General features: G+C 40.8%; 1 long non-coding RNA gene across 1 annotated transcript in view; it reads left to right on the forward strand.

The window, feature by feature from the left end:
• The window catches only part of LOC105375873 (uncharacterized), a 39,300-nt gene extending 28,541 nt beyond the window's left edge, over nt 1-10,759 (forward strand). Inside the window, exons 4-6 of the long non-coding RNA XR_001745931.2 lie at nt 2,977-3,186; nt 4,892-5,036; nt 8,937-10,759. This is a non-coding gene — a long non-coding RNA (uncharacterized LOC105375873). The remainder of the gene's footprint in view (nt 1-2,976; nt 3,187-4,891; nt 5,037-8,936) is intronic.
• The last annotated feature ends 2,869 nt before the right edge of the window (nt 10,760-13,628 follow it).

Raw genomic sequence — 13,628 nt, forward strand, 5'->3', positions numbered from 1 at the left:
GTAAAAACACAAGAAGATATATGTCCACCCACTTTTTGATCTCTTGCCCTATAAGATTTAGCTGTCTGATGAGTTTTTACTCTAAGGGTTTTGAATTCATTGATACAATTTTTCATTTTCTGCCTCATCTTGAAGCTTGGTGTTCCTTCTGAATGTCTTTCTTAATGGTTGGATCATCTACTTAGTCACCTATCCTAAACACATAAGATCCTAGCCTCTTTGCTTTCTAGATCCCTTCAAGACACAGTCATATCCTGTCGTGTCTGTTTCCCAAAAGTTTAAATTGTGTGCCTTCTTGCTGTTTGCAAATCCAGCCTCAATTAAGGTGTTCACAGTTGATTGTGTCCTGGTCTTCATGACTGTCTCCTCTGATTCAACCCTAAGAGCTCAGCACATTTGGACTTAAATGCAAATCTACCCATATCTTTTTTCCACTTAAAACTCCTTTTCATAACAAACCCAGTCTTTTATACCTTTCTCTCTTCATCTGATGCCATGCCTCTCCTGGAGCCATATTGCTCAAACTTGCCATCCTGTTTCATGCCTTCATAGACTGTATCTTCTGTAAGAATGGGCTTTCATCTACCTTCTCCTTGTCCATCTGGACAACTCATCCTTCAAATATCATTGTGTACACGGTAGGGATGCTGCTACCAGTTACCAGCTACCACCACTACCACTACCATCAGCACTAGAATTTATCAAGATTGAACACATTATGAGCTGAGAAATATGTTAGTCACTTTCCATGTGTAGATGTTGTTTATATTATACAACAACTCAATGAGGAGTTGAGAAATGAACTCCTTATTTTCTCTAGATTAGGAAGCTAAATCAGAGATATTTAAGAGAGTGGACCAGGATTCAGAACGGGGGTATGTGCTTCCAGAACTCATTGATGGAACCACTGCAATTTGGAGCCCTGCTATACAACTGTGCTGAAGGAAGGAGGCAGTTACTCAACCCCTTCCCAATGCTTCTTTTGTAAAATGGGGATCTTAATACCTTATTAGCAGGGTTCTTGTGAAAATTAGCAAACACTATTGAAAGGAAACTGCCAAGTCTTTATGATAAGTAAGTCCAGCTTCTGGAGATATTTTCTTTAATAACCCATAATATGGTTAATTTAAAGCTGGGAAACTTTACTAAAGGCTAGAAAACAATAAAGAGTAACATCACAGGCAACACAAAACTAGATAATTTGACCCAAGAACTACAGATTGTTTGGAGGTAACATGTATGATCTAGGACTACCAGGACTGACTTAGTAGTGTGTGATTTTAGCTGGCTTCTGAGGATTGGACTGTTCATGTGTAGACTTAGCAATGATGTCTATTTGGTAGAACTATTGTGAGAGTTGAATTTATTCCTAAACATACATTTACTGAGCCCAAAGCTAGGCATTCATTGATAACTAATACACAGTTTTTGACTTAATCCTCCTAACAAAAGCGCTGGGGGTACTACTTTGATTCCCAATTTGCAGATGACAAGAGTAAGGCCCGAAGAGGTTACGAAACTTGTGTAGGTCACATAGTTGGTGATTTCCATACCCAGGACTGGAACCCAGGCAACCTGGTTCCAGAAGTGTGTGCTCAGCCCATCTGCTGCACTGCCTGATGGTGTGAGTGGAGACACTACCATCATGAAGCTTGCAGTTTAGGATGGTGCATATGTAAGAAAACAAAGAAATGCACAATTAAAAATAAAATAAGTGCTATGAAGGAAATAAACAGTGTGTGTGGCAAAGAAAAATGGGGAAGGGGTGTCTGAGATCCATTAGAGACAGTGGTTAGGAAAGTTTTCCTTGAGGAAAGTGATGTTTAAGATTGGATTAAATGAGAAGATGTGTTTAGTAAAGGGAAATCTGGGCACCCTGCTAATAATGTTCCCTTTCCTTTCCTTTCATATGTTGAAATAAAACATTTTTTTTTGACCCTGCATGAGCTCTCCCTGCTTGTGATTGCCCTGAGAGGTAGAACCCCAGGGAAGATCACACTTGTTCAGGTGGGAACTATGAAAAGTCACAGAGGACTCCCGGGCTTAAACAACTGGCACATAGATGCTTACACATTACTTTGTTTGCACATGCGATCTTTTATTAAATAATTGAGAAATCCTAGGTATTTACAGGTATTGTCATTTTGTGCCTTAACGATGTGTTAGATTTCAAAAGTATCAACTTAGTTTCGCTGTTCACAATGGCTTTGAAATGGTGTTAAGACTTCTGGAAATTCATTGAGGGTTAGCAGTGTCGTTGCCTATGCTTTTTACTTCTAAATAATAGCTTATTTCTTTGGCAAACCTATCATTTCTAATTTAATGGGTAGTACTTCAGCAATTGAGCTATCTTTTTGAAAGCTACAATGGCAGCTAAAGAAATCCTAACAGAGAACTAAAATAAGATAAATGGGAAAGGGACATATTACCTCTTTTTGCTCATCTGGTTGTTATTGTTAATAATAATAATAAAATACCAGAAATTGATATAACTGTCTTTTTTAGCATCATTTAAAATATCCTTGGGAATGTCATATAAAATAGCAGTTGTAGCAGTGTGATGTAAATTATAGTACAGTAAAAAAAAAAAAAATTGGCAATGGTGGGTTCTGCCTGACAATTGCTGCCTGATATTTTGAAAGCAAAATAGTCACAAATGTATTTAGGCCATTTCATTAAAAAAATGAAATTATGCTTTAGGTAAGCTTTACCCTTCATCCTCTTCCCCTGATTGTGATTCACTGATTCATGATGGATGAGCGTTATGGTGTGGCCGCCTGACTGTAAGATGGCCTGGTGAGCTCTGCCTTCTGGTACCTATGCCCTTATGTGATCTTTTCCTCCTGAGTGTGAGCTAGATTTAGTGACTCACTGTAACAAATAGGAAATGGCAGAAATAAGGGGCTGTCTCTTCCAAGATTAGGCTGTAAAATATTATGAGTTTCATCTTGGGTGCTTTCTCTTGTTCTTTCTTAGATCTCTCCCCTGTGAGAAACCAGCCACCATGTTGTAAGCAGCCCTGTGGCGAGACCCACATGAGGAAGACCAGGGCTTGCCAACATCCTCTGAATGCACGTGGAAACAGATCTCTGTCCCTCCCCTCAAGGCCCAGCTGTGCATCCAAATGAGATCACAGCCTTTGTTGACAGCTTGACAGTCTCCTCATGAGCCAGAGAAATCAGCTAGGTGACTCTCAGATTTCAGACGCACAGAAACTGTGAGATAATAAATGCTTATTGCTTTAAATGCTAAATTTTTGGGGTTATTGATTATGCAGCAATAGATAAGATAGATGAAGTGTGCAATGGGAATGATAAATTCTACAGTGGGCCCTAGGTCACTGTAAACAGGAGCCACAGTGATATAATCCCAAGTCTCCAGTGTGGCATGAGGCTGAGAGCATACTAGGGTTTATCTAACTTCTTGGTTTTGAGTTTCTTTCCATTTCCCTAGGCTGAGGCTAAATTGGGATTTGCTATGGTGAGAATGTGTCTTCTAAATTTCATGTATTGGAAACTTTCCCCAAATTTATATATTAATGATATTTGGAGGTAGGACTTTTGAGAGATAACTAGGATTAGATAAGGTCATAAAAGTGGGGTCTCCATGATGAGACTCAAGGCTTTATAAAAAGAGGAGGAAGGAACTGAGTTGACGTGCTCTTGCCCTCTCGCCATGTGGTACCTTCTGCCATGTTATGACACATTAAGAAGGCCTTCATCAGATGCGGCTCCTTGATTTTGGACTTCCTAGCCTCCAGACTGTAAGAAATAAACTTGTTTTCTTTATAAATTACCCAGTCTATTGTATTCTGTCATAGCAACACAAAACAGACTAAGATAGGGGTCTTCATTAAGAGCAACGAATATAGAATTTAGCCAACTAAAGTAAATTTATTGGAAAGATGTCTGGAATGGGGTAGATGGGGTGGAATGGGGGTATAAAATCAACAGGAGGCTGTGAGCAGGCTTGGGAACCTGTTGGAGGCCGCAGAGTTCCAGAAGCCAGGGAAAGGAAGCTTCACAACATTGTCTTAGCATCAGTGGTTCAACACAGCAGCACTGCAATACCTACCTTCTGATGCTATTTTCCATCCTTGCTTCATTCACTCAGTATTCAGAGCCCTGAAAAGAGCCTTCCATTGGCCATGCTTAGTTACCTGCCCACCCCTGGTTATATCGGTGTTGTGAAAGGAAGATGGGGGCTCTTTGGCCTTCCTAATGGAGGGCAGGCACCAGGGATGTAACCTTTGTGGCAGAGACTGTTACTGATAGAGTTGGAATGTTTGTCCCCTCCAAATCTCATGTTGAAATGTAATCCCCAGTGTTGGCGGTGGGGCCTGGTGGGAGGTGTTTGGGTCATGGGAGTGGATGCCTCATGAATGTCTTAGTGCTGTCCTCATGATAGTGAGTGAGTTCTCTTGTGATCTGGTTGTTTCAAAGTGTGTGATGCTTTCTCCTTTCTCTCTTGCTCCCACTGTCACCATGTGACATGCTGTTCCCACTTCACTTTCCACCATGAGTAAGAGCTCCCTGAGGCCTCACCAGAAGCCAAGAAGATGCCAATGCCCTGCTTCCTATACAGCCTGCTGAACCATGAGCCAATTAAACTTCTTTTCTTTATAAATTACCCAGCTTCAGGTACTCCTTTATAGGGAAGCAAAACAGCCTATTATAGTTACCACTTACCCATTGTCTGCTTTCCTCTTTTTTAGTAAGAAAATTTATTGGAGCCACACACCCCATTTTTCCAGGCTCCCTCACACAGAAGTATGTGTATCTTAATTCTAGTCAATGGGGCCATATGAGCAAAAATGGTTTATGCAACTTCTAGATTGTACCTTAGAAGGAAAGGTACTTATTCTATTTTCATTTTCTCATTTTTTTTATAGTGGAATGTAAAGATTGTGGATGGTCATCCTTGACCTCGTGGACAAAGGCCATACCTTAAGGATGACAAAGAAAAAAGCATGGAAGGAGCCTGTGTGCCCGACACTATTGGCCTGCCCCTCAGGACTGGGGACCACCTTGAATGTTGTAAGAGAAGCCTACCTTGTTTAAATGAGCTTTTGTCAAAATAGCCTAGTCTGCATTCTGAGGCTGCAACCACCAGGGGAAAGGGAAAGCCCTGAAGGGTACTCAGGGTGCTACCAGGAGGGGAAAATGCATGCTGGGCAGCCAACAGTGGCCATTACCATCACACTGTTTAGGAAGCACGTGCCATTTCCTGAGTGAAAGTTTTCTTTAATTTTTGGTGATGGTACTAATAGATGGGCAAATTAGAATTCCTACATTGGGCCTATGCCCTGGTAAGGCAGCTTTATGTTTATAAATTCCTCTGCCAACCAACATGCTCTGCACCCAAGTTCTTACATCCTTCAACCTTTACCCATCCATGGGAACCTTATGCAAAATAACTCCTAGGATCATGGAATTTTGGAGATGTAAGGGACATTAATGAGCAAATAGCTGGAACTCGGGCTCCCAACCCTGTTTGTTTAGCACAACCTCCAGGAAAGCTTGTTGAAAATATGGGCTCTTGTGTTATTTTTCATAAATAGTAATTGCCCTGGTCTGGAAGAGGATTCTATATCCTACCCCATTGTAGTTTAGCATGGTATGTGATTTGTTTTGGCCAATGAAACAGAGTGAAAATGATGTATGTCAATTTCAGGCAGAAACATCTAGAGCCAGCACTTGGTTTGCCATGTTCTCTGTGTTTCTTCTGCTCCTAGATGCAGCAGTACTCCAGATGGAGTTTGCATTATGAACCTGAATTCCAGGATGAAAATAACATGGAATAGAACTTAGCCAGCACAAAGTACACATGTGCTGTGAATAAGAAATACCCTTTTGTTATTGTAAATCACTGAGATTTTGAGGTTGTCTGTTACTTCACCATAATCTAGCCTAATATAAACACTAAACTAATATACTGCTCTACCATAGTCATTTATTTCCTGCTCTTTCTCCTCCTCCTTCCTCTATTTCAGTGTTTAGCAAACCTTTGCCTGCCTGTTTTTGTATGGCCTGAAAGCTAACCATAGTTTTACATTTTTACATGGTTGAAAAAATCAAAAGGAGAATAATAGTTCATGATGTAAAAATTATATAAAATTTAAATAAATATCAGCATTCCTTTTTTTTTTTTTTTTTTTTTGAGATGGAGCCTTCCTCTGTTGCTCAGGCTGGAGTGCAGTGGCGCGATGTTGGCTCACTGCAATCTCTGCCTCCCGGGTTCATGCCATTCTTCTGCCTCAGCCTCCCGAGTAGCTGGGACTACAGGCACCCGCCACCAAGCCCGGCTAATTTTTTTTTGTATTTTTTTAGTAGAGACGGGGTTTCACCGTGTTAACCAGGATGGTCTCGATCTCTGACCTCGTGATCTGCCGGCCTCGGCCTCCCAAAGTGCTGGGATTACAGACATGAGCCACCGCACTGGGCCAAATGTCAGCATTCTTAAATAAAGTTTTATTGGAACACACACACACACACACACACACACACACACACACAAAGAATATGAGCTCCTGCCCTCACCATCCACCACGCTGCCACCACCTCACTCAGTTGTGTCAGAAGTTCATTAGTTGTTCTCTGTGGGTTCTCTTCAGTTCTCCAGAAGATAAAAGAAGCCCTAAGTGCTCCTACATCCCTTGTAAAGAGGTCCCCAAGGAAATTCTGCCATTTTCCTTCACAGTTAATGGGGCTGCCCTCAGGCGTTGTCATTTGCTACGTCTTCATGGAGATCTACATGGCTTGTCATCCTGCTTGCACAGGCCACTATGAAGCCCTTCGTAGTGAGGATCTTCCACAGGGGCACCACTCCCAGGCATTGCCCAGGCTTGCAAGAACCGCAGGCATTACCCAGGCGTGTAAGAACCTGAGGCTTGTTATCAAGTCATGTCCTCATCCCCTAGGAGGTTTTGGTGTTTTGGCCGGGCCCACTCAGAGTGGCCAGGGTCTCATGCACCTGTGGAAGCTGTAACCACCCATTCCCCAGTGTTCTGCATCTAATTACTGTCCCATGGTAGGTTCCCATGCCTTCCTATTTTACAATTTGTGTACAAAAGTTTCCATGCCCTCCCCATCTGAGGTTTCATGTGGATTCCCTTCAGAGCCTAAACAACGAAAGCTGGTAACTTAACATCTCAGAAGGTGCAAATGGAAATACCCTCTGCGGGTAGTTACGCAGTAACACACAGATTAATGGAGAGTGGGAGTGTCTAGTGAACTGCAGAGCACACACTCAGTCTAAATAGGTAGGTGTTACTTGTATTCTGCCGATCTCGTTGGTAATAAATGCCCAGTGTTGCCTAATTCTAATGACTTTTCAAGAGTTGTTGAAAATTTGGATTTTATAAAAGAAAACATGTGAAACACCTTTAATTTCAAATATTGGTAAATTGACTAATTTATATTTTAAAAATGACACCGTAGATTTTACATTTAGAAACCAAATTTACATTGTGGGTCACAGTTATAACCTCTGGCTAGAATTTACCAGTACAGTCTGTCCCAGCTAACTCTCCTGGTGTGAAGAGGAAGAAATGGCTTTTGATTCAATTCCAAGGAATATAAAGCAAGAAAAGAAAACAAATGGGCGGATCACCTGAGGCGGGCGGATCACCTGAGGTCAGGAGTTCGAGACCAGCCTGGTCAGCATGGTGAAACCCAGTCTCTATTAAAAATACAAGAAATTAGCTGGATGTGGTGATGAGCACCTGTAATCCCAGCTACTTGGGAGGCTGAGGCAGGAGAATTGCTTGAACCCAGGAGGTGGAGGTTGCAGTGAGCCAAGATTGTGCCATTGCACTACAGCCTGGGCAACAGAGCAAGACTCTGTCTCAAAAATAAATAAATAAATACATAAAAATAGATAAATAAATAACATGACATCCATTACTTTCTCACTCTCTTACTTCAATAATCATGTTGCAGAAATTAAGTGATAAATTAATAATATTAATATACAAAATATAGCACAGTGTGCCCTCACTTAACACCATGGATAGGTTCTTGGAAGCTGTGACTTTAAGTGAAACAATGAACAACAAGTCCTCCAATAATGTTGTCTCCTTCAGTGTTGTTTCATTATAACACTGATGAGAAAAAAATACTGGTTTCATTATATGTCACTTTGCTTAAAGTCGCAGTTTCCAAGGATCTATTGAAGGCATTGAGGACTTACTATAGTTGGCACATGTTGAGTGATTAAACAATGCATAAGTTTTATCTGATATCCTTGGGTCTACTTCTAGACCAAGCTTTTGGTTGTGCTTTCGTATTTCTGCACTCTCGCCATACTCTATTATTGTGGGTTTATATTTGATAGGACACATCTTAGAAATTGCACAGTATATTGTTGAAGGACATTATTTTTACTCACTCATATACATTCAAATGTTTAGACAGATGAAATGATCATCCAGCTTTTTCATTGGAAGGAGTTTATCTTGCACTTTACAAATGGGGAAACAGTCCCAGAAACATTAAATGGCTTGCTTAAAGTTTTCCAGTTAGTTGGCGATTGTGTCTGATTAGAAATGATATGGTAGGACTTCCTGTCCAGGTCTTTCGTCTACACTGAGCCTCTGCAATTCCCCCGCATCCTATTGGTGCACCTGACATTTTCCCCCTTCAAGTCATTCGTCATGATTAAGGTGTTATTTACAAAAGTAGTCTGTATGCACATTGCTTTTCAAAGTATTGTGTTAGCATGGTACTCTATATTAGGTTCCCCAAGTTACACTGGGGTGTGGGGAGTGGGGGGAAAAAGAGAAAGGTCTGGGAGTGAGGCGTCTGGGTTGATGAGCAGTGCCAGGGTGGGCTGGGGAGGCAGAGAGCATGCAGCTCCCTGGTAAATGTACTACTGAGAGGACTGAAAGACAAACTTTACTATTTTCTTGACTTTTTCTCTGATCTGCTTTGTCACAGTAGTAAAATCAGGGAGACAAGGAGAAAAGAATGAGTGTTAGAAGCAATTTGCTGGATGCTTCGACAAAAGCAGCAACATGAACCCAATTAAAAAGAAAAAGTAAGCATAGAATTTATTTCTATTCTAATAGATCAAAGCTAACTCCAACTTGATTTTTTAAAATAAAAAATATGTTGGTAAAGGTGTGTAAAAATTGAAACCCTTGTTCATTGCTGGGGAGAACATAAAATGATGCAGTTGCTCTGGGAAACACTATGGTGTTTCCTCAAAAATTAAACATTGAATTATTATATGATCCAGCAATTCCACTCCTGGTTATACACCTCAAATAATTGAAAGCAGGAACTCAAACAGATATTTGTGCACCCATGTTCCTAGCATCTTTCTTTACAATTGCCAAGTGGTAGAAAGAACCCAAATGTCCATCAACAGATGAATGAATAAACAAAATGTGGTGAATACATACAATGAGGTATGAAAAAAAATGGAATTTGGATATATGCCACAACCTAAGTGAAACTTGAAGACATTATGCCAAGTGAAAAAGCCAGACATAAAATAACAAATATTCTATGACTCCATTTACTTGAGGTATCTAAGGTAGTCAAATTCACAGAGACTGAAAATGAATGGGGGGTGCCAGGGACTGAAGGGAATGAGGATGAAAGGTCATCCTTTAATGGGTATAGAGTTTCAATTTGGGATTCTGGAGAGATTGGTGGTTATGGTTGCACAACAATGTGAATGGACTTAATGTCATTAAATTCAACACCTAAAATGGTTAAAATGGCAAATTTTATGTTTTGTGTTAATATATTTTAGCATAAAAAAAATTATTTGTTTTCCCTCCCCCTAAGTAAAATTCTAAATCTTTGAGTATCATAGGCTTCTAGTTTGCATTTAATTTGCCTTTGTTTATTGGAGCATACTAGAAACTCAGGACTACATGTACTAATTTAACCTATTCCTCCTTTACAAGGAGGAATTGGGGCCTAGGTTTTGTAGTCCACTTTCAGTGGACACTTTTGGGGGAATATAATATAAAAAATATGTGTTACAGTAATAATCTCATTATAATAATGTAGCAGTTCACCAACCTAAGTAAGAAATAAATGTAAATTTATTTTTCTATAACTAAATTTTACTTTTGTATGCTAATATTCTGGGGTCTATAAAAACTTAATTTCAACTTCCTTGGTCTTCTATTTTTCTCTCTGATTCCATCATATTTCTGGGAGACTTAAACTATGCCAAAGACCTGGAAGGAGGGGCGACATTTGGTCTTAGCTGCCATCTGTCCATGATTGTATCCACTGAGGTGTCATTGAACCCACCTGGTCCTTGGCCAATGGTCTATAAAAGTCACTGCTGAGTCATCCTCTGCCCCTGCTCTCCAGGCCTCCTCAGGTTCAGGCTGCTGTTGCTGGTCTTTTGCTAGCCCTCGAGCAGGCACACAGTCATCCACTTCCAAGCCACTCCAGGACCCTGGCAACCTGTGAGGCTGGCCATTCCTGGGCACAAGGCTCTGTTTACCTAGACACACCTTTATAGGACTCAGGCTGGATGGTGAGATCAGGCCACCTCCACCTCACAATGTTACATGGGGTTCAAACACCTCTTAGTGTGACATACAGGAAAAGTGGTGTGGAGTCATGGGCATGATGTTTACTTCTCTCTGCCCTCTTTGATTTTGTTAAGCCCTTTATTTCTACCATGAAATATCTGCCTGGGAGACCTAAGAAGTGACACATGAGATAGGCAAGAATGTTACCCAGTACTGAAGCATATGAAATCCTTCTCAGACAGGCTGGGGCAAATAACACCTACACCCTGGGTTAGAAGTAACTTGTTTGTTGAGATAGAGAGGGATAAACGTGGCAAAATGATAGTTTTGAAATATTGTCCTCACTTATCCCAATCTTTAGCTAGAATATTCCAAGTTTGCTTTCTTAGAAACATCAGAAGAAAATCAGAAAGAATCTGAAAGAAAAATAAAAGAGAATTAATTCTTTTTTTTTTAAAAAAAAGAGTAAATTCTTAGTGTTTGAGTGTCAAGGGCTAGACCTGCACTGTCCAACATGGTAGCTACCAGCCTATAGCAAGTAACTATTTAAACTTAAATTAATTAATAGTAAATAAAATGAAAAAGCCAGTTTCTTATTTGCACTAGCCACATTTAAAGTGCTTGATAGATAAATGTGGCTAGGCTACTGTATTGTATGGCTCAGAATTACAGATCATTTTTACTATGGCTGAAATTGGGTAGTGCCAAGCTAGACCATGATACGTAATGAGTAAAAGCCAAGCTTTTCAGCCTTTGGGATTTGAAAGGATTTCCTTGGCTGGGAAAAGAAAAATGGATGGAGGGAATATAAGAAAGGAAAGAGGATGGTGGGCCATCTGGTAAGGGTGGAGTCCACATCTGGAGGGACCCAGTCTCTATTGGGGAATGCTACTCACTGAAGCCAGCTAGGAGCTATGGAGGAGCTGAGTATTGTCTGGAAGCCATCTAGTCTCCAGTCAAGTTTTCATCATACAGAGCCCACCTTGAGGAAAAGTGTTAGATGTTTTTCCCCATGTCATGAGTCATGGGACGGTTCGTTTGCTCATGTCTGGATTCAATGCACTGACAGGGTCTATTTGAAGTGTGATGTTGTGGGCGCAGGGGATAATGGTGTAAATTAAGAGGATGGTAGGCAAGTTGCTCAGTGCTGTTTCTTTAAAAGAGCCCAACAAAGTCATGGTCAACTCTAGAAGATTCAGCATGTCACTGTCCAGAATTATTTTCCAGAGGTTCCCAGAGGGTCCCAGTTAGTTGACTAGCCATTATTGCATCTGAGGATTGTGGGGATAAAAGGTAAAGATGCAAGTGGTTGGTGGATATACTGTTGGGAGAGTGTCTGTCCATCTTAAGCTCTGCCCTAGTCAATTCTCTTGAGTTGTAATTTTCCTGGATTTTAAAGTGGGGCTCAAAATGGATCTCAGATTGTCCCTAGAAGACTCCTGATTTCCTTGACCCACATTTATCTGGCCTCCTCTTTCCCTTTTCCAAGAGACCCACTACCTAGTTTTAACAAATGTTAGATTGTAATCTTCACAAAGCCAGAACTGCTCCCTGTCCCCTTTGTCCCATTGCCATCAGCTCAGTGCCATTCACCAGGTCCAGTGGATGCAAGGGCAGAAAGGATGCAGGTAGGCAAGAGTGAAATATCAACCTGGGCCAGCTGGTCAAGGACAAAACAAACAAGCCAGCAAAATATCCAAGAACTGATGTTATTGTCTATGAATTATTTACAGCTGAATGGAAAGGTTGCATATAACAGTTTTTGAATGTTTTCAGATAGGAATTATTGTGAACTTGGCTTCTCATTCATCTTTGTCAGAACTGACCCAAAATTGTTTTGTGAAGTGAATTTCATCTTTGGCAATGGTCTTTCTTTGCACTATTTTCAAGTTGTGTTTTTATATTTAGGAACTTGTCCTCATTAAGCTCATCAACTTCGACCCAAAGATATCACTGTATCGACAGTTAAAGAGCACAAGTCTGGACATTAACCAGAAACATGTAATGTCCATGCTCAAACTGGACGCAGCTATGGAGCCACCTAGTCCTCGTTAATGTATAAATGAGAAAAAAAGTCCATCCCAAATGTTGTAACTAGCCTGTTTCTTGTTCCAAGCAATAGAAAAATCACTCTGGCTCAAAATTTAAAGTGGAATTTATTTAAGTAATACTAGGGTAGCTCATGTAAGTGGAGAAACAGCTGAAAAAACAAGCTACAGGAAGGACAGGAACCAGAGAAGCTTGTGAGACTTCAGCATCAGAAACGATAGGAATTTCTCTCTAGGGTGCTGCTGTATGATGATTCAGCTCCCACACCCTGAAGACTCTGTATGTCTGTTCAAAATTGAAATTCAGGGAGGAGAGTTTTGTTGACTTGCTTGAGTCAGGCATCTCTATCCTTGGATTAGTGAACTGCAGCCAGTGGACATTGGGAGGTGTGTGTAGGTGGGCATGGCCAAAGAGGGACCCATGGGCCAACACCTAAATTATGTCTAATACTCTGATATGCTAGGTTATGCCCTCTGTTCCTCTTTGCTCCTGCAGATTCATTTCCATCCTTCTCTTCTCACTCTGTGTCACAGGAAGTCGACCACTACAGACTACATCACTTACTCATCTGTGCCAACTCTTCTGGCACCAACAGGAAAATCAGAGGGTAAAGAGAAGAGAGACATCAAGATATTTCTTTCCCACCTTCTCCTGGCTGTAGGGCTGCTTCACTGGGAGCAAGTGCCTTCCTCCACAGCCACAGCTCCACTGGCAAAGCCATGTCCCTTTGGCTGCAGGAGTTTTAACAACATCCTAATACCGCTAGATTTTGGGTGCCAAAACACCCTTCTTATTTTGCTCTTATCCCTTCCCACATCTTTATACATAGCTTTTTTCTTAAAGTCTATTTGTTTAAACCATCTGGGTGAATTCTGGTTTATTCCAGAGGCCTGACAAGTAGAACCCCACTACACCATAATAAAAGAGAGTTGTGTACCTGACCAACACTATATTGACCTTTGTAGAACTGTAGAGTTTTGTTGTAAGAACATGTACCCCACTTAGGGGAATGTATAAGATTCAATGTTATTAGATAAATACTTACCTGTTTTGCTATTATCATGTTGTTGGGATGTAC

This window comes from Homo sapiens, chromosome 8, assembly GCF_000001405.40.
Source record: "Homo sapiens chromosome 8, GRCh38.p14 Primary Assembly".
Taxonomy (NCBI): domain Eukaryota; kingdom Metazoa; phylum Chordata; class Mammalia; order Primates; family Hominidae; genus Homo; species Homo sapiens.